Source organism: Homo sapiens, chromosome 13, assembly GCF_000001405.40.
Source record: "Homo sapiens chromosome 13, GRCh38.p14 Primary Assembly".
In the NCBI taxonomy this organism is placed as follows: domain Eukaryota; kingdom Metazoa; phylum Chordata; class Mammalia; order Primates; family Hominidae; genus Homo; species Homo sapiens.
The window spans coordinates 44,835,205-44,857,509 of record NC_000013.11 but is presented as its reverse complement, the minus strand read 5'-3'; the positions used below and the strand labels follow the sequence as shown (position 1 = coordinate 44,857,509).

Here is a 22,305-nt window from a genome sequence, read left to right as displayed (position 1 = left end):
GTGAAGAGTGAAACCTACATGGCCATTGCATCCTAAATTCATCTAAGCGAGGAAGAAATGCTTGTTGACTGTCTATTATGGGCATGGCCCTGTGTTAGCACAATAGAAACTGCTGAGAAGAATAAAATATGTGCTCAAATAATTAATAACCTGATAGGAAGAATGAGATCATTTACTCATCTGCTAATTCTTCCTATTATTCATAAAGTATTGACTCAGAGCCTGGTGTGTGTCAGGCTTGGGGCTGGCGGGACAGTGGGGATAGAGGGGTGAGACAGGATGAGACAGTTCTGCCTTCTGGGAGTTAGGTGATCTAGCTGAGGTTACACAAAAACGAAACCTTGAACAAGACCAAATGTGATAGACACCTCTCCGAGGCATACAGGCTCGTGGCTATGCTGTCCAGTACTGTCCCCCTGGCCACATGTGGCTACAGAACACTGGAAATATGGCTAGAGAACTAAGGAGCTGGAATTTTAATATTATCTTATTTTAATTCATTTAGGTTTGAATTTAGAAATGAATACTTGACTCAGTGATTGGCAGACTTTTTAGTATATTTGGAACAAACTTGGGCACTCGAAACTACTTTTTTAATTGTAAATTTTATGAGATTGACATACACATCAAGTACTTCCTATAAAAACTTAGCATCCTGCCGGGTGCAGTGGCTCACACCTGCAATCCCAAGACTGGGAAGCTCAGGCAGGAACTTCTCTTGAGTCCAGGAGTTTGAGACCCGCCTGGCCAACATAGGGAGACCCCGATTCTACAAAAAATAAAAAATTAGCCAGGTGTGGTGGCATGCACCTGTAGTCTCAGGTAGTCGGGAGGTTGAAGGAGGAGGATTGCTTGAGCCCAGGAGTTCAAGGTTACAGTGAGCTATGATCACACCACTGCACTCCAGTGTGGGTGACAGAGGGAGACTCTGTCTTGAAAAAATCCCCCAAACCAAAAAACAATTTAGCATTCTAAGTGAGATGTGCTATAAGTTGAAAACACAAATGAATTTTGAAAATTAGGTACAAAAAAAAAAAAGAATGTAAAATAAAGCATTGTTAGTTTTTATGTTTGTTACATGTCAAGATAAAAGAATTTTAACTATTTTGGGTGAAATAGAATAATATTACAGAAACTGATTTCATCACTTTCCTCCTTTTTTTAATAGGACAACTGGAGAATTTTAAGTTCCATTTGTGACTTGCATCTATTTTTTATTGAACAGCACTGGTTTAGGGGTTTTGAAGGAAAGAGAAAGTGTATCATGAAGTTAATGTTTTGACATGAATGTTACAGAACCGATTGGACTGAGCAGCTGGAAAGGGTAGAGGGCCCTCCTGAGAGAGGAGACTGCACAATGACATTGTGTAGGGTAATGCCAAGTGGGTTGGGTGTGCGGGAGAGCCCTGGGCATTGTGTTCAGGGAGCAGCTGTGAGAAGGGCTGGTCAGGACAATGGAGGGCTTAACATGGGAGCCTTGACCAGCCAGGCCAAGCGGGCTGTGCTTAGTCCAGGTGGCCCAGAGGGGCTGGGAGGCTCTTAGGCAGGGGGCACAGTGATAGGAGCAGCTTTAGTGATGTTTATCTGGCCTCAGTGTGCAAAATGGGACGGAGTGGGGAGAACCAGAAGCAGGGAGACATGCTGTGATGATCGCACAGTACTTCTGGAAGTACCCCGTGGGGTAGAAGGTGGGCTTCCTCTTTTCAGCCAAGACTCTAGAAAACAAAGAAACAAAGCAAACCATAAAAACTTCATGAGATTCTGGCTGGGCACGGTGGCTCATGCCTGTAATCCCAGCACTTTGGAAGGCCATGGCGGGCAGATCACCTGAGGTCAGGAGTTCAAGACCAGCCTGGCCAACGTGGTGAAACCTCGTCTCTACTAAAAATACAAAAGTTAGCCAGGTGTGGTGGTAGGTGCCTGTAATCCCAGCTACTTGGGAGGCTTAGGCAGGAGAATCGCTTGAACCTGGGAGGCGGAGGTTGCAGTGAGCTGAGATAGCACCATTGTACTCCAGCCTGGACAACAGGAGCGAAACTCCGTCTCAAAAAAAAACAAAAAACAAACAAAAAAAAAACTTCATGAGATTCTTCAATGAATTAATGTGGGCCTTATCCACATTCTGTTTCCTACAAACTACTCTTCAGTAAATCAATTTCCTCCCCTTGAAGTGTTTTTAAAAATGTTTCTATTTAACTCGTGTGCAGCTGCGTATCGCCTGGGCCTTGTCCTGGAGCCTGGGATGCAGTCATGTTAATCACCTTGTGAGGGGACCTGGTCAGTGTGCTTATCACTGGGCAGCCCCTAATCTCCAAAGAGAAGGAAATCCATGGAGTCAGCCACAGGAAAAACATATTATGAGAAGTGAATACTAATTACTAGAGAGGATCTGAGAAGTTCATGGATCATAGAATTGTAAAACAGCAAGGACTTCTAGGTATCATTCAATCCAACTTTCTATTTCATTGAGGAAACAGGCCCAGAGAGTTTGATGACATCTCCAAGATCACACAGCAAGTTAGCAGCAGAACAGCAGTTAGAATGTGTGCCTCCAGGCTTTCAGTAGCCTTCCACCGTGCCACATGGAATACTGTCCATTAGGAACATCAAATATACAATGAGTCAAGAAAGATAAGGTTAAACAAGGAGGAACTGTGAAAGCTAATAGCTGGGTCTGTCTATATACAGAGAAAGGTTATATGAGCACACACTGTCCTATGAATAAAAAGGCACGCGGCTTCTGTTCTCTCCAGTGTAGCTCTCTGGCATGTCATTGGCTGGTCCTAAATGGCTTGGGGACAGCTGCCCAGTGTTGGGACGTGAGGGAGGAACACTTAATCCTCATTAAGGAGGGGCTGCAGGGCGGAGGGCCAGTCCTACCACCTCCCCAGGAAGGTTTTCAGTGTCACAGCCTCTCCCTTCACAGGTTTGCAAGGGAGAAAAAAGGAGAGGACTGCAGTGGGAGAGAGGTGTTGAGAAAAAATAAGAGAGGGAGAATGTTGAAAGGTCGAGCTGAGGGCTTGGCTCAAATGTAAATGTTCAGAACATTATGAAGGCGCTTTAAATAGACCTCTCACAGGTGAACACAGTGACAGAGAAAAGCTGCCGGTACTCCAGGGAACTAAGTAAATAAGCACAGATGTCAAATATTCAGAGTTGGATGGGGCTGGGGTGGACCAGGAGCTCAGCAGAAAATACAAGAATGTCTTTGGTTTTAATTGCCAAGTCCTGTTCTATTAGATGGCACCTGAGGAGTTGCTCATATTTCAGGAAATATTTTCTGCTTAGGGACTTTCAGAGGAATAAGTGAAAATCCAGCCTCCACTCTGAACTAATGCAGTATCCGAGTCATGAGTAGGGTTCATAAATAGCTTGAGCTTTCTTGAGGGGTCCTTATGCCATTCAATGAATCTGCCCATCAGCATGTGTTTTATATATTTTCCTTGATAATGGAAACCCAATGATTATCATTAAATAATTAGAGAATCCTATATAACCCAACACATGACCCCTGGAAAAAAGCCACACGAGCTGGTGTCCTCCCAACCCTGCTGTGTTTTTCTCTCTGAGCATAGCATAAGTGGGCATAAAACAAGAGCAAAAACACAAGCAACGGCTATGTTTGGCTTTCGATTAGGCATTAAACCTCAGACAGTTGCTAAACTTCTTGAACTCCATGGCTTCAGTCCAGGTTGGAAAGCAGGTCAAACAAGTCAAGCTGAGTAGAGGATGCAATCTTTTGTTCTCAGCAGGCTTTGAAGTTTGTTTTAGGATTAATATTTAACTTTAGATCTTAACTATTTTATGCCTCAATTTCTCCACATACAGACAATACATAAATCTTGCAATGAAAGAAGATCACACTTTCTTGTAAATGTAAATAGTATAAACTCTTTCCTTTGGAGGGTAAAAAATGGTAGAGTTGGGGCTGTAGAACGGTGTGGTCCAATAGGGGTATAATGTGAGGCCCAAGCACAGGAGTGTTAACTTTCCTAATAGCCACATTTAAAAAGTCAAAACAAGTAGGTGAAATTAATTGTAATAGCATACATATTTTATTTATTAATTTTAACAGCCCATTTTTATTTTTGTATGTTAACATGGAATCAATATTTTAAAAATTATTAGTGAGATATTTTACATTCTTTTCTTTATACAAGTAATCAAAATATATACTTACCACACATCTCAATTCAGACTAGGCACATTTCAAGAGCTTCATAGCTGTATGTGGCTAGTGGCTACTGTATTGGGCAGGTGGTTCTAGAGCCAAAATGAATTGACTGAGAAACTGCCTGATCTTAAGCAAGTTACTTAAGCATCCTCAGTTTCCACATCTCTACAATGGGAATAAAATAATGATACTGTCTATCTTGTTGGATTTGTCATGAATATGATATGTGTAAATATATTTAAAACCTTAGATTTGATCAACCGGTGGCAACCACCATTATTAGTTATCATTCTTAGTACAAAGGATGAATGTGTTAAATTATCTCAAAATGTGGCGATTCCAAGCCAAGTGAAATTCAGTTGAATTTACAGCTTAGCTTTTTTTAAATGTTGGTGCAATTATTTAGTAGCCAAAACCAGGAAAATATACTTGAAATAGTTTATTCTATGATTTCATCAAACTTGTCATTTAAAAATTCATAAAATGGCCTCTCCCCACTCCCATGGCAAAAGGAAGTGAGAATAATTCTAACTAGTTACCTGTCAACTTGTACTCCAGCTTGCCAAAAACATCTGAAGCAGCTGAGTAGTTTTGCATGATTATACTATTTGTAAAAGTGCATGCATTTACATTTTGAGGGGCGGAATTTTCATTTTGGAGCTTTCCAAAAGAGTAAAGCATTCCGTTTAAAGCTGGAATTCCTTCCCTAGTTTTCTAAAGCAGTTTTGCCTTTGAATGACAGCCACATGCTGTGTGAATTCTGCGTTGTCCTGGAGTCTCAGTTTCATTTTGGTGCTCCAGATGCACACCAAGGGAATGCATCTATGCTTTGTGGCCACAGGGGCCAATTCGTGATATGGATGTCTTCTTAATCTCTTCTTTGACACCTGGGAATGGCATAAGAGAGGTGTAAAATTTGATCAGGCCAAGTTACCAGGCCTTATCTACATATGGCCAAGACTAAGACCTATCAGTTTCTCTTGTCGCACGGTAGTAAGAAGACCTGCAGGGAGTCAGGAAACTAGCATTTGGGGTTCGTTTTGCCCTGGTTCTTAGTCTTAGTGGTGGCACCAAACATCTCTGTGGCATTTGCTCCCCACATCTGCTCATGCTGGGACCTTGAATATAGTCCATGTTTTTTAATTTAATTAATTAATTAATGTTTTTTGACACAAGGCCTTGCTCTATCACCCAGGCTGGAGTGCAGTGGCATGATTTCGGCTCACTGCAACCTCGACCTCCCGGACTCAAGCCATCCTCCCGCCTCAACCTCCCAAGTAGGTGGGACTACAGGCACACATCACCATACCTGGCTAATTTTTAAATTTTTTTGTAGACACAAGGTTTCACCATGTTCCCCTTCCTGGTCTTGAACTCATGAGCTCAAGCAATCTGCCCATCTTGGCCTCCTAAAGTGCTGGAATTACAGGTGTGAGCCACCGTGCCCTGCCTAGTCCATGTTTATCACTTCTGCACATTTGTATCTTCTGTAGGTCTGAGGGACTTGGGGGCTGATCAAGGAAAGAGGGGACCACAAGAGGCAGTCACACACAAGCTTTATTGGGTGATGTGAGGGTTGCATGAGAAGAGAAGCCCCTCACAACATGAGATAGCCAGAGGCTCCAGGGGGCCAACATCCAGAAGGAGAGGAGGGATCAGTGAGGGGGCTTCTGTGTCTTGGTGATGTTGTTCAGCAGCACAGAGGCGAGTCCCTGGATCAGAGAGCCCCAAAGTGCGGTAGTAGCTTGGGGTCTCATCATTGCAATGCTGTATCTTATCAATGGCCAACAGATGCTGGGTGAGGTTTCAAGGAGTATGCAAAACAGGTGGGCTCTAAATGGCTAATAGTCTACTTGTTTGGGCTATTTTTAAAAATAACTGGATGTATAAAAGTTTGAGTTTGGTGCCTGCAGGCTTTTGAGCTAATTGGTCTCAGGTTGCAGTGGAGGAAAACACAACTGAGGGACTAATACACAGAAGCCTTCTTTGATTCATTTATATAGCAGTCTTTCATTCTATGCGTAAATAGCACGGCTTGCTGGAAAGACTACAGGTGAAAGCCTCGGGTTCAGGTTGTGGCTCTACTACTTGCTGCGTAGCTGTTCCTTGGGTAGTCACTCAATCTCTTAGGACCTCATTGTCCTCATCCATAAGGTGATGGGTGGGGCCAGCTGACCACTCAGTTTCCAGATCGAAATATTTATGACTCTTGGCTTCTTGAAACATCCTCATGATGGTAGACATGATGGTAGCATATGTTTCGTTATTACCATTTGTCGGATGAGTACCCTGAAGCAGAGTGGATAGATGCTGATCTTTACATAACACTCACCCAGTTCCTCACCAAGAACTGGATTAGAACTCAGGTTTGTGGATGTCTACATCCTTTGTTTTCTACTACCCTGGTGGGCAAATAAGGGGAATCTTCAGAAATGAAATTAAAATTCTGCCACTGCACATAGGTGTAGCCCAAACCAGAGGTAACCAAAACTGAAGATTTATGGAAATGCCATAATATTGTTGTCCTATTTTCTTTACATGTTTACATTTATAAACATTCAGAGTAAAAAAAGATAGCACCATTTTTTTTACTCATTACTGCTTTTTGTTGTCACCTTACATTTGTTCACCTTTTATGATTTAATAATCATATTTCTAAAAATTTGTTTTTTAGAGGCGGTGTCTCACTGTGTCACCCAGGCTGGAGGGCAGTGGGACAATCATAGCTCACTGCAGCCTTGCACTCCTGGGCTCAAGAGATCCTCCCACCTCAGCCTCCCAAGTAGCTGGGAATATAGGCGTGCACTACCACCTGTGTTACATCTTTTATTCTCTCAGCGATAGCGTGCTGGTATTGTTCAACAAGAAGCTCTCCAGAGGAGGAGATTTACTAAGTTTTGTGGTGTGAATATTCTTTCCAGAGCTGAATTTGGGATACCAACATGAGGTCACTGACTGCTGAGTTGGGAAAGGCATGCACAGTCAGGCCTTGTGACCCCGTGTCCAGGACACTGTGGAGAGTGAGGTTCAACCAGTGCACCGGCTCTTACTTGATCCACCCATAGATTCTAAACTCTTAAATCACTGAACATGCTTGTAAAAACGTGCTAAATGCTTGTTCCCGGGGGCTCATGACTCCATGGGTGTAGAAGCTGTGTTATCCTGTTCACCACTATTTCCAGGGTTTAATCTCACTTCTTCATCTGTTGCTTTCTTAAAATTGCATAGCCAATGAAATGTGATTCCTGAAGAGCCCACATCTGGTGACATTGTGCACAGGTACCAGTATTTCCTCCACATCCCTGGGGCTCAGTCTTATTCTGCATTGATTTCTCAAGTGAGCTCTCACTTCTAACAAAGATCCTCTCTGTGCTGGTCATTACTATGAAGATTAATGACTATTTTTAATAAAGAATATCAATTGCTTACTTGCAATTGATACTGAACCCATCTTGGGGACTGTGCTGGAGAAATGCACTCTCTGTTTTACTCACCATTATTGGTACTGTGGAGTTTGACTTCCTCTTATGGTCATCAGTTAGGGAGTATTTCTTTAGCAAGGAGGGAGGTTTACCTAAAAATAAATGAGTTTTAAAATCTTTATCCTAAAACTTGTCTGAATTGTAAAATAAATCACTCTGGAGATTCGGTGAATTTTCTGGCCCTGAAAGCTTCTATATTTGACTGTCCTGGAACATGGTGTTCTCTGACTGTTAAACCATGTCCATTTGTTCCTGGCTCCAACATTTCAGAGGACTTTGTGGCCTTGTTTTCCAGATCTGAGTTTAATTGGAGAGTTAATTATCTGAGCAAGAACATGTAAGCCAAGTTGAGTTTGGGAGTGAAGCCTGTGATCTCCGTTCCGCTTCAATAGACAAGAAGGTCTTTGTGAATCTTTGTTGATTTATATTTTTACATGAGCAGATGTGCCATATAGCAAAGGGAAGAAGTCAGGGAGAGGAGCCTGTGACAAGATCATGTTTAGCTAAGATGAGTACAAAGGTCCTTTATCTCTTTGCAATAACTTAGCCCACGAAGACCCACAGCCAGAACTGCGAGATGTTCGGTTCAGTTCCAAGCAGGCGTCTGAGCTCTCAAGCAAAACAGGAAAGCACGAGGGTTCATTCGCGTGGCCTCAGCCTTGGTCATGATTTCTGATCAGCATGTGCTTCCCAGACGGAATTCATAAGCACCTTGAATAATTTATCCTTCTTCTCATTCCAGAAATTCTTTAGTTAGGTATTTTCAAAAGTTTCTTTCTTTTAAATCCACATGACCCAGGCTACTAGACTGCCTTCACTAATTCATGGTTTCCATGGCAACCAACTGATGGCTCTATTCAAGTCCATCTACGACAACCTTAATGAAAATGATGTAACATTGCTTAAAATAGGTGTCTCTTGTCTGTAGCAGGGTTAGATTCCCTATACTTCTGTTGACTGTCTCTTAAAGAATCCTCTCCTCCACATCACAGGTTTTACACATTTTGTCATTCCTAGAATCCTATAGCTTATCAAATTGTTGTTTTACTACAGGGAAACTACATACTAATCTTAGTCTCCTCATCTGAAAAATGAGGATAATAATATTCCTATATATTTTGTAAGATTAGTTCAAGATTAAGGTGGATGCCGGGCACTGTGGCTCATGCCTGAAGTACCAACAATTTGGGACACAGAGGCGGGAGGATGGCTTGAAGCCAGGAGTTTGAGACCAGCCTGGGCAACAAAACAAGAACCCTACTCTACAACAACAACAACAACAACAAACTAGCCAGGCATGGTGGCATCTGCCTGTATTCCCAGCTGCTCAATCTGAAGCAGGAGGATCACTTGAGCCCAGGAGTTCAAGCCTAGAGTAAGCCATTATCAAGGCACTGAACTCCAGCCTTGGTGACAGAGCAAGACCCCATTTCAAAAACAAAACAAAACAAAACAAAAAAGAATGAACAATGATATGTAGGTGCTTGAATGTAAAGAAGCACTTGGCATGGGTTACACAAATGCCTACTGAGACCAGGTGGGAAACATGAAGGTGAGAGAGAATCCAGGAATAAGAAAAGTGACAGTAACATCACAAGGAAAAATGGCAGCCAACACTAGGAGACTTTATCCAGCTGGTGGACTATGAATATGGGGGTCCAGGCCCATCTGAAGGCAACAGCTGCTACTCAATTCCAACCAACTGTTGTTTTTTGGGAATATGCGCCAGTGTTGCCAGTTCTTCTGATTTCATTTTTAAGGAAGAACCAGAAATCCAGATCTTTAAAAAAAAAATCCTAATTTTTAAGTTCTGGCAACAAATTCACACTGAGTATATACATATGTACACATGTGTGCACACCCACCGGATGGGACAAGCAATATGTATCTGTTGTCTGGAAGGAACCTGCAGGCATTTAGTTTGAGACCTTTGCTCTAAGACATTTTTAGAACCATTTGTAAGTCTGGAATGAGCTAGATATTAAACTCTGTTTGTTTAATCTTGTCACTCGTACTTGCAGAGGTGTGTTAGGAATATATTGAGAACCACTGGAGAATGCCAAGAAGTGAAATTTACAGGGAGGTTATGTTGGCTCAATGTTGGGAGAAATTTATTGGGAATCAGTGATGCTGAAAATAGGACGCAGAAATCACTATACACCTATTAGAAGGGCCAAAATCCAGAACACTGACAATACCAAATGCTGGTGAGGATGTAGAGCAACAGGAACTCTCATTCTTTGCTGATGGTAATGCAAAATGGTACAGCCACTTTGGAAGACAGTTTGATGGGGTTTTTTGTTTTGTTTTTTTTCGCCAGCCTAAACATACTCTCACTATAAGATCCAGCTATCACACTCTTTGGTATTTACCCAAAGGAATTGAGAAGTTATGTTCACACAAAAACTTGTAGACAGATGTTTATAGCAGCTTTATTCATAAATGCCAAAACTTGGAAGCAACAAGATGTCCTCTAATAGGTAAGTGAACAAATTGTGGTACATCCAGACAATGGAATATTATTCCATGCTAAAAAGAAATGAGCTGTTGAGCCATGAAAAGATGTAGGAGAAACTTAAATGCGCATTACCAAGTGAAAAGAACTAATCTGAAAAGGCTACATACTATGTGATTCCAACAATGACATTCTGGAAAAGGAAAAAGTATGGAGACAGTAAAAAATCATTGTTGCCAGGAGTTGTGGGGGAGGAATAAATAAACAGAATACAGAGGATTTTTAGGGCAGTGAAAATACTCTCTGTGATACAACAGTGGTACATGTCATTATACCTTTATCCATCATATAGAATGTATAACACCAAGAGTGAATCCTAATATAAACTGTGGACTTTGGGTGATAATGATGTGCCAATGTAGGTTCATCAGTTATAGCAAATGTATCACTCTGGTGGGAAGGTTGATAGTAAGGGAGACTGCTACACATGTGTGTGTGCAGGGGATATATGGCAAGTCTATCTTCCTCTCAATTTGGCTTGAATCTAAAATTCCTCTAAATAATTGCTTGAAAAATAAGATGGAGACAAACCAATCAAATATGATGCATAAATCTTGAAAAGATCTTATATCCTGGGGAAGAAAGAAACAAGAAAATAAATTCTGTCCAGGACAATTGCAGAAGTTTAAATAAAGGCTGCATATTAGATGGTATTATTCAATTAATATTAATTTCTTGGGTGTGTGTGGTAATAGTGCTGTAATTATATTGGAGAAGTTCTTTATTCATAGGAGATGCATGCTGAAGTATTTAAGAGTGGAGTGTCAGAATGAATACAACTTAGTTTTAATGGTCTACCTAAAAAAAGTGTGTGTGTGTGTGTGTGTGTGTGTGTGTGTGTTGAGAGAAGGAGAGAAGGCAAATGTTAATAGAAAGAGTGGCTAAGCTAGGTGAAGCGTATCCACTGTGCTGCTACCCTTTCAACTTTTGTATAGGAATATAATTTTTATTTTTATTTATCTATTTAAAAAATTTAATGGAGACAAGGTTTCGCTATGTTGCTCAGGCTGATCTCAAACTCCTGGGCTCAAGGGATCCTCTTGCCTTGGCCTCCCAAAGTGCTGGGATTACAGGCATGAACCACCATGCCCAGCTTGGAATTTTTACTTTTAAACAAAAGGCCGGGCATGGTGGCTCACGCCTGTAATCCAGCACTTTGGGAGGGCAAGGTGGGTGGATCACCTGAGGTCAGGAGTTTGAGACCAGCCTGGCCAATATGGTGAAACCCCATCTCTACTAAAAAATACAAAAATTAGCTGGGCATGGTGGTGCATGCCTGTAGTCCCGGCTACTTGGGAAGCTGAGGCAGTAGAATCGCTTGAACCTGGGAGGCCGAGGTTGCAGTGAGCCGAGATTGCACCACTGTACTCCAGCCTGGGCGACAGAGCAAGACTCCATTTCTCAAAAAAAAAAAAAAAGAAAAAAAATAAAAATAAAATAAAATAAAAATGTAAATAAAATAAAATAAAATAAAATTTAAAAAATTAAATAAATAAGATAAATAAGATAAATAGGATAAATAAGAAAAAAAAAAAAGGCTGGGTGCAGTGGCTCATGCCTGTAATCCTAGTAATTTGGGAGACCAAGGCGGGCAGATCACTTGAGGTCAGGAGTTCGAGACCAGTCTGGCCAACATGGTGAAGCCCTGTCTCTACTAAAAATACAAAAATTATCCAGGCGTGGTGGCAGGTGCCTGTAAGTGCCTGTAATCTCACCTACTTGGGAAGCTGAAGCAGGAGAATCACTTGAACCTGGGAGGTAGAGGTTGTGGTGAGTCGAGATTGCACCACTGCACTCCAGCCTGGGTGACAGAAGGAGACTCTGTCTCAAAAAAAAAAAAAAAAGGTTTCAGATGAGGTAAGCTGTGAGCTTCCTGCCATGGGAATCATTCAAGTTGATTTGCTCAAGGGACTTTGGGTGACAGCGTTGGTGCAGTGGCTGACTAGCTGGACCTCGATAGATGGCTTTCAAGTCCTTTATTAAGGGTCTACTAAGGGAAGGACCCAAAGAGGCACATCTAGAAGGCTTCAATTGCTCAACTGCTCAATTCTGCAAGCCATCCGTTTTAGTTTCCTTACTTAAACTAGATAATGTACCCAAATGAACCAGCTCAGTTCTAGACTTATGATAGGTGTGCATCTAATGCTATTTTTCTTTTCATTTTTTTACTTACCTGTGTAATAACTAAAGTATTAACATCTTACTAAAAACATATTAGGAATAAACTTCAGCATGAGGGGAAGTATTTTCAATTGCTTTCCAATTAAAACCTATTCTGGTGAGTCGTAATATCTAAACCCAGGAAATAACCTCATATTAACACTTAAAGAAATGATTTGAGGCTGGGCGTGCTGGCTCATGCCTATAATCCCAGCACTTTGGGAGGCCGGGGCAGGCAGATACCTGTGGTCAGGAGTTTGAGGCGGGTGGATCACCTGCGATTAGGAGTTTGAGACCAGCCTGGACAACATGGTGAAACCTCGTCTCTACTGAAAATACAAAAATTAGCCAGGTGTGGTGGCGTGCGCCTATAATCCCAGCTACTTGAGAGACTGAGGCAGGAGAATCACTTGAACCCAGGAGGCGGAGGTTGCAGTGAGCCGAGATTGTGCCATTGCACTCCAGCCTGGGTGACAGAGCCAGACTTGGTCTCAAAAAAAAAAAAAAAAAGAAAGAAAAAAGAAATGATTTGAAGTTCTCACTTTAAGAGTACTCTCATCCTCAGCTCCTGCTTAAGGACAAATGAAAAGGTGTGCTACCTTAAAAGTTTCAGAACAATCAGATGGCACACAGAGAGATGCCAGAACAAAACAAAACACTTCATACAGACACGTGGACATCTTTGGGAAGTCATGGCTATAACCTAGAATTCCTGTTGTGGTCTCCTCCGTGCGGATGCTGAAGGGCTCCTCTCTGGTAAGCTTCCCCTCCCTGAGGACACCCTGCCCACGTTGGCATCAGTAACTACAGCACTCTGTGGAGCCCACTCTCACATGGAGTGTCTGCTGTCCCCCCGGCATCTCCAAATGGGCATATGTCTAGGATCTGTCCTCATACCGTATTTTACTTGACCTTCTAAACATTTTCTGGGACCCTGGAGCACTATTTTCAACTTGTCCACCTTGGAACCTGTTTTAGTTCTCATTGCCTCCCTAGAAACCACTCTGTCGCTGGGTTTCCCAAGTCCATCTCCTTGGGACACGGCTCTGCTCTCCAGAAGTCAACAGTCACAGTAGGGCATGCCGTCTTGAAGCCCTGCCTTAGAGGCAGGTTTGCTGGCATATTTGTAGGAGCTGGGTGAGAATCCAAGTAGAGGCCCATATGACACCTGTTTAAGTGCATAAATGTTTGAAAGCAAGTTTATGAGCTGTTACTTCCTTGGCAAATATACCTTCTGTCGATGCCCTCCAGGCAAAGACCACCAGGAACATATTTGGAGTGAACAAAGTTGGGTGGGTTGACTCATTGCACTGACATCATACCCCATGGGGACCCATGGAGCATCTCAATCACATGTAGAAGGGAATTGTTGGAGCATTTGGGCTGATGATGGAGGACTTGCGAGGAGGGTTCAAGGAGGTATGACTTTGCTCTGAATTAAATGGATGCCATCAGAAAGTGGGGGTAGTTCAGTGAGTAAGTATCTTAACAAAGCAGGGTTCATGCCCTGATTGGTAAAGGAGTAGTGATCACTCATACTAGCAAGGATAAAGGGATGTGGTCATTGTTGTGGTTTGGATAATGTTCTTGTTTTGGTCTGTGCTCAGATATGATTACAGACTGGTCTTGTTTTCCTCTTGCTCCATCCTGGTCACAGAGTGGCCTTGTCTGATGCTGGTATTTTGTGAAATTGTTTGGGTTCAACTGGAGAACACCAGGACCCATCTGAGAGCTGGAGCCAGCTCCTGGTGACACTGGTCTGGGTAATGGTGCCACTTTGCTTTTCTCTTTCTCCCTTCATAATGACAAGGAGGGCCAGGTTTGAATTGAGAAGTATTGAGCTCCTCAGTGTTCTGAGCCGGGACATGGCAGTGGGGGGGACCCATCTCCACCCCCCTTCTCCTCCCACTCCCCGCTGGCTCCTTCCTGCTCTGAATTTGTCTTGTGCTGTGAAAAGCTGAACACTCACGAGTATGCACACCCCATTTCACACATCCGAGCTGATCGCTCGCCACCACTTGGGCCTAGAGGTCCAGTCACACTGGCAGCGATGTGCATCCTTGGGAGGATGATCTCTGGAGAGAGGCCTCCACAGACCTGGTAAGGGCTTGGGCTGCTTGGGCAGGCAATTCCAGGGCCCTGGGTACCTGGAACATAATCTAGGAGTTGGCTCCAGGTGGACCATGCCTTTGGTTCAACAGATTTCTCACATGATGGGGAAGGGCATGGCCAGAAGGGGCTGCAGGAGCCCCTTCTCTCTCTGGTGTGGGCCCAGGAGCCCTCTTGCCTAGGTCTAAGATGGTCTGTCTATAATTGTTGACTCCTTGCCTTGGCCCATTCATTTTATTGATCTCCCGAGTCTGGCAGGACTTCCACTCCTGGTCTCTTCTGGCTTGCCCAGTTCTGTTGTCACTTATGCCGTGGTATGATGACAGTCACTCAGCACACATGTATGCATGCACACACACACGCACACAAACAAAAGAGGTGAACCCAAATTGACAGTAACAGTGAAACCTGTTCCATATTTAATGCCATTTCTATTCCCTCAACTTTTTTTTTTTAATAGAGAAGAGGTCTTGCTATGTTGCCCAGGCTGGCCTCAAACTCCTGGGCTCAGGTGATCCTTCCACCTCAGCCTCCCTAGTAGCTGGGACTACAGGCATGTGCCGCTGCACTTGGCTCCATCAACTTTTTAAAAGGAAACATAACAATACACAAAAACTGACTTATAATTAATGTTTGTATAAATGGCCTAACTCTGTAGGAGTAAAAATAGGTCCCTAATGGGTCAGTATTTACAAAAATGCAGTAATGGGTGAGTCACACTTCCTGAGAAGCTATGCTTCCTTCTATAATTCTATCTTCCTTAAAGATGTTTTGGTTTCTAGATTAGAAACAAGATTAACATATCCAGAATGAATGTTCATAATGTATTTTAGTTCTTACCTAAGAATATTTGAGGTTCTTCTCTTGATTCTTAACTATCAAAAGAGGAAAAGTCTTTATTATTCTAGAAGGTAGAGAACATAACCTCTCATTTTTGTGCTCAAAGAATACCCCTTTAGATAATAATAACCTCCAGTGATGATACTTTAGGATATTGGAGACAAAGGTTTTTCAAGCAAGGCAGTGAGGGGTTATTGGTGTAAATGTTGATCTACAGCTGACCCCATGAGAAATGGCATCCTGAATTTTTTATTTTTCTCACCCGGAAAAAAGGGGCTATTTTTCTGTTCCTTTCATTTATGCAAAATAATATTTGTCCTTTCCTTCAGGTACTAATATTTAAAACATTTTCACCTTGCTGTTGGTCACTGCTTAGTGAAATTTCTGAGCGCTGTATGTGTGTATTTTCTTCTTGAATCTTCCATCAGTTCTTCCTTTCATTCCATGAGTATGATCAATGAAGGGGGTAGGTTTGGAGTCAGACTTTTTGTTGAATCCCAACTGCATAATTTAGAGTTCCTGCACCTCAGTTTCCTACCTTAAAATGGGGAAAATAGGCTGGGCACAGTGGCTCACACTTGTAATCCCAGCACTTTGGGAGGCTGAGGTCTTTGGGCGGATCACCTGAGGTCAGGAGTTCGAGACCAACCTGGCCAACATGATGGAACCCTGTCTCTACTAAATACAAAAAATTAGTTCAGCTTGGTGGCACGTGCCTGTAATCCCAGCTACTCGGGAGGCTGAGGCAAGAGAATCACCTGAACCCAGGAGGCAGAGGTTGCAGTGAGCTGAGATCGCACCACTGCACTCCAGCCTGGGCAACAGAGTGAGATTCTGTCTCAAAAAAAGGTGGGGAGGAAATAACAACAGTTACTTCATAGGGTTGAAAGGATTAAATGGAAATCGCATTTAACCTGGCACATGGTAAGTGTTTACTTACATGCTGGCACACAGTAAGCATTGAGTAAATGTATGCGTTGATTTTTTTTTCAACAGTATTTAATGAATGCCCACCATTGATGAGGCACTATGCTAGATGCAGAGGACACAGTAGTGAACAAGATGTGTTTTCTATTCTCCGGGGACTGACAGTACACAGATGTAGACAGGCAAGTAAATAGTAGGGCATAATGTGATCGGAGTTGAGATGCCATAGGAGTGCCCCCTATCTGATTGAGAAGTCAGGTAAGCCTTTCCAGGGCTGATGTCGCCACTGACTCCTAAAGAATGATCAAGAACCAGTAAAGTCACGTGCGGTCTAACGAGGCATCCCAAGCAGCAGGAACAACAGCATGTGCAAAGTCCCAGAGGCAAGAACGACAGTGGACACTGCAATCCTACCATCTAATCTCCTCGAATCCTTGATGCACTAAGAAAGAGTGAAAATAAATTAAACAACTTTCCCCCACTACATCTTTGGTTCTTTTTGAGTTTTTCTCTGTTTCTCAGAAGCCGCAGGTGGAGCCCAGAATGATTGCCCCTTGTGTAGAGGGGCTAATGTGATGCTGCTTCTGCATGGACAGCTTCAGATCTTGCTTTGCTTCCCTCTCCCTTTACACATCCTCAGCTTTTACGTCTTGTTCATCACCCTCTCTCCCTGGGATTTTTCATCCCAGAGACTATTTATTTTAGCTTCTTTTACCCTTTTAGACTTAGTTTGTTGTTTTTAAGGTTAACTTTCTTCCCATTCTATAAAGTCTTAAGATTTTTCCCCCACTGTTTCCTGTTGTTCTTAGTGCCTTCAACTGATGGTCATTCTTAAGTTTTTCACGTGTTTATTTCATTCCTTTGTCTTGTTAGTGGTGAAGACTAAAATGTGTTTAATCCCCAAAATGGTCTTTTGGAATACAGTATTTTCTTTCACAGTGATCATCTTCCTTGCTATACAACGCTTTTACTAGGACATAGCCCATTTTTAGGATGCTCTTGGCCAAGATATGGAAATTGGCATTACAATAAAAATGTCACATGCTTTTGAATAACATGCCTTACTGAAGCCAAAATAAATAATTTCTACTGGCTATTTCAGTGGAGTCTAAGATACTTGGGCACTCAAAAATCCACAATCAAAATTTGCCTAGAAGTATTAGTGACTGGCTCAAAACTGAATACCTTAGATATCTCAGAAAATCATCTTTTTTTTTTTTTTTTTTTTTTTTTGAGATAGAGTCTCGCTCTGTTGCCTAGGCTGGAGTGCAGTGGTGTGATCTTAGCTCACTGCAACCTCTGCCTCCCAGGTTCAAGTGATTCTCCTGCCTCAGCCTCCGGAGTAGCTGTAGAGGGGCCAATGTGATTACAGGCATGCGCCACCATGCCCAGCTATTTTTTTTTTTTTTGTATTTTTAGTAGAGGTGGGGTTTTGCTAGGCTGGCCAGGCTGGTCCTGAACTCCTGACCTCAAATGATCTGCCCACCTCAACCTCCCAAAGTGCTGAGATTACAGATGTAAGCCACTATGCCTGGCCTAGGAAAATCATCACTCTTAATCCTGATTGTGATACCGTCACCCACCACCACCTTTTCCAATGATAATAGCAGAAGTTAATAGAGTTTGCACTTGCTTCGCTGAGTGAATGCAAGCACTAGCTCATCTAGTCCTTATAAAAACCCTGCAAGCTAAATACTTTTATATTATTTTCCTCTCTGTACAGAGGAGATTTCAAGAGTTTAATGCTCTGCGCAGTTTCACACAGTAATATGTGACATAGCTGGGGTCAAGCCCTTTTCAGAAGTCTACTTGATATTACTTTACTTTGTGGCCAGATGACCTTGAAACCATAAATGAGCAAGTGAAAGAGAAATTGGAGGTGTTGATTAGCAGTCAGGTGGGCCAGTGCAAATTCTAAGGATGCTGAATTTGTCTCCCTATTTGAAGTTTGTAGTCAGGTGCCCTGTACCTCTAGTTATCTAGACTAGAATATAGCTCATTCCTTATTGCTGATTTTCAGTATCTCTAGGTCTATTGTTAACTTTTTCTTAAGTGTGCTTATAGTATGGTGTTCAGATTTTGTTCGTTTTGTTTTTGTTTTTGAAATAGGGCCTCAGTCTGTCGCCCAGGGTGGAGTGCAGTGGTGCCATCATGGCTCCCTGCAGCCTTGACCTCACCAGGCTGAGATGATCCTCCCACCTCAGTCTCCCGAGTAGCTGAGACTACAGGCATGTGCCAGCATGCCCAACTAATTTTCGTATTTTTTGTAGAGACAGGGTTTTACCATGTTGCTCAGGCTGGTCTCAAACTCCTGGGCTCAAGTGATCCACTCGCCTTGGCCTCCCAAAGTGCTGGGATTACAGGTGGGAACCACCATGCCTGGCCCTGTGTTGTGATTTTTAAAAGGTATCCACCTTATCTTTTAAGAGATTCATATTGAAATGATGTGATATCTGGGATTGGCTTCATAATAATTCATTTGGTGGAGGAAGGGGAATGGGTAGCACTAAACGGAAATAAGATAGGCCATGATTGTTGTGATGAGGTGGTAGATAGATGGAGTTCATTATACTATTCTCTATGTGTTTGTGTATATTTGACACTTACCATAATAAACAACAACAAAAAATTTTTTAGCTACATCGCTTACCCCCTGTAAGGATGTCTTCTCCCTAGCTTCCCAGGCTGATTATATTTTGTTGTCATTTTTAACAGTTCTGTAAATATGTCACGTAAGGGCAGCACTCATTCAGGCATACTCCTTGTGGACTCTTTTCACTCCTCTGTGATAAGACTTTTTAAAAGCTTTGTTGTTATAATTCATATTTTCCTTCATCTTCCCCCATCTGCCTTTTTGTTAAAGCAGCACTTGACTTCTAGCCAGGTTTTTCCTCCTGGACCTTTTCTCATCCATTCTCTAACACATTTTTCTCCTGACAATTAGATTTTGTGCAGTTAATTATAACATGACATTGGTGCTTTTTCCCTACACAAATCCTTTCCTAGAAGTACTGCAGTGTTCCAAATTTTAGGAGAATATTGATTCTTTTTTCCTATTATGAAACTCGAATGGCTCTCTGGTGCATCTTTCCTATGAGAGACACTCACATTCTTATTAAAACAGAGTTCGGGTTTGAATGGTGGGCTCACCTGTTTATTTATGCATTCATTTATTCATTTGTCAATGAGAAAATTATTAAATACCTATACATATTGAGTACTGCAAAGAAGAATCTGCTGTCTTGAATACTAATATTTTTGCAGGGATTTTGTAAAATATTACTTTAAAAAAATGTAGCCTGGGTGCGGTGGTTCACGCCTGTAATCCCAGCACTTTGGGAGGCTGACGCAGCAGGTGGATTGCTTGAGCCCAGGAGTACGAGACCAGCCTAAGCAACATGGTGAAACCTGATCTCTACAAAAAAATACAAAAATTAGCTGGGCGTGGTGTGCACCTGTAATCCCAGCTACTTGGGAGGCTGGTTTGAGGCTGGGAAGCAGAAGTTGCAATGAGCTGAGATCGTGTCATTGCACTCCAGCCTGGGCATCAGAGCCAGACCCTGTCTCAGACAACAACAACAAAAAATGTGTTATGCTGAAACTGAATTTGGAGCCATAGCTAACATTAGCTGAATTATATTCCGTAGGCATCATAAAGTTCATGTTTCTTTTTACATAGTATGCACTAAAAAGTATGATAAGGGGAAGATTCATTTGTTCATTCACTCAATAAATATTAATTGAGAGCCTAGTGTGTGCCAGATACTTTCCCAAGCTCTAGTGATATTTTGTTGAACAGATGAAATTCCTGACATCTTGGAGCTTATATTCTACTGGAGGAGACAGATAACCAAAATAAACAAGTTTACACACAGTGAGTCAGAAAGTAATGAGTGGGCAGAAAACAAAGCAGTGAAGAGGAAAAGGAAGCACAGGCTGTGATGTTAGAAATGGTGGTGCTGTGGACTGAATGCTGGTGTCCCCCCAAATTCATATGTCGAAAACCTAATCCCCAATGTGATGGTATTAAGACATGGAGCCTTTGGGAGGTGACTAGATCAAGAGGGTAGATTCCTCATGAATGGGATTAGCATCTCATAAAAGAGCCTCCAGAGAGCCAGCTAGCCCTTTCCACCATGCAGGGACACAGCTAGAAAGCACCATCTAAGAACCAGAAAGCAATTTCTTCCCAGACACCAAGTCCGCTGGTGCCTTGATCTTGGACTTCCCAGCCTCCAGGATTGTGAGAAACAAATGTCTGTTGTTTAGAAACCACCCAGTTTATGGTGTTTTGTTACAGCAGCTTGGAGGAACTAAAACAGGCATCCAAGAAAGGCCTCCTTGTAAGTAGCTTTTGAGTGAAGAACTGAAAAAGTGAGGGGGCTGGCCTGGGTGACTTGGGAGCAGAGCAGTCCAGGTAAGGCCTGACGCAGGAGCAGCAAGGAGGCTGGTCCGGAGTGGCTGGGGCAGTGATGGGAGGGAGAGAGGCAGGAGGTGGGGCTGAGGTGCCAGAGCCCAGGGCCTTGGGGGCAGGGAAGGCCAGGCTCTTCCTCTGAGTGAAGTGGGAAAGAAAACTTACACTTGAAAAAATCACTCTGGCTGCTGTGTTAAGACCATAGGAGAACAAGGGTGATGGAGACCAGTCAGGACCCCAAACAGTAATTCAGGTGAAAGCAGGATGCTGGCAGGTGGATGGTGAGAGGTGATTGGATTCTGTACATATTTTGGAAGTACAGCTGATATTGGTGCAAAAGTAATTGCTGTTTTCTCATTGTTGAAATTTGCTGTTTGACACTGGAATGCATTCTTAAATAAATGTGGTTACATTATACATCATTTCAATGCACATTTCTCGCTTTTTGTTTGCTAATGATTTATTACTTGTTATTTTATATTTATTTCAGACTATGGAAATGATGTTAGACAAAAAGCAAATTCAATTGATTTTCTTATTTGAGTTCAAAGTGGGTCATAAAGCAGTGCAGACAACTCGCAACATCAACAACGTATTGGCCCGGTAACTGCTAATGAACATACAGTTCAGTGGTGGTTCACGGAAGTTTTGCAAAGGAGACGAGAGCCTTGAGGATGGGGAGCCTTGTGGCTGGCCATCAGAAGTTGACGATGACCAGTTAAGAACAATCATCAAAGCTGATCCTCTTACAACCACACGAGAAGTTGCTGAAGAACTCAAGGTTGACTGTTCTATGGTCATTCGTCATTTGAAACAAATTGGAAAGGTGAATGAGCTTGATAAGTGGGTGCTTCATGAGCTGAGAAAAAATTTAAAAAATTCATCATTTGAAGTGTCATCTTCTCTTATTCTACACAACAACAATGAACCATTTCTGGATCCGATTGCGAGGTGTGATGAAAAGTGGATTTTATACAACGACTGAAAACTGGCAATGAACAGCTCAGTGGTTGGACTGAGAAGAAGCTCCAAGGCACTTCCCAAAGCCAAACTTGCACCAAAAAAAGGTCATGGTCACTGTTTAGTGGTCTGCTGCTGGTCTGATCCACTACAGCTTTCTGAATCCCTGGGAAACCATTACATCTGAGAAGTATCCTCAGCAAATCCATGAGATGCACAGAAAACTGCAGCACCTGCAGCCAGCGTTGGTCAACAGAAAGGGCCCAATTCTTCTCCACCACAACATCCAACCACATGTCGCACAACCAACGCTTCAAAAGTTGAACAAAGGGATGTGAAGTTTTGCCTCGTCTGCCATATTCACCTGACCTCTTGCCAATCGACTATTACTTCTTCAAACATCTCAACAACGTTTTGCAGAGAAAATGTTTCCACAACCAGCAGGATGCAGAAAATGCTTTCCAAGAGTTTGTTGAATCCTGAAGCATGGGTTTTTATGCTACAAGAATAAACAAACTTATTTCTCATTGGCAAAAATGTGTTGATTTTAATAGTTCCTATTTTGATTAATAAAAATGCGTTTGAGCCTAGTTATAACAACTTAAAATTCATGGTCCAAAACCGCAATTACTTTTGTACAAACCAATATTTGTTGCTGGGTGGGATGTGGGGAGTGAGTGAGAGAGGAGTCAGGGATGACAGCAAAATATTTGTTCTGAGCAGT

General features: G+C 42.4%; 1 long non-coding RNA gene across 1 annotated transcript in view; it reads left to right on the top strand.

Annotated features, from left to right (window-relative positions):
- Positions 1-16,691, top strand: part of LOC105370187 (uncharacterized) — a 55,982-nt gene extending 39,291 nt beyond the window's left edge. The window contains exon 4 of the long non-coding RNA XR_941934.4: positions 16,277-16,691. This is a non-coding gene — a long non-coding RNA (uncharacterized LOC105370187). The remainder of the gene's footprint in view (positions 1-16,276) is intronic.
- Positions 16,692-22,305: the final 5,614 nt, after the last annotated feature.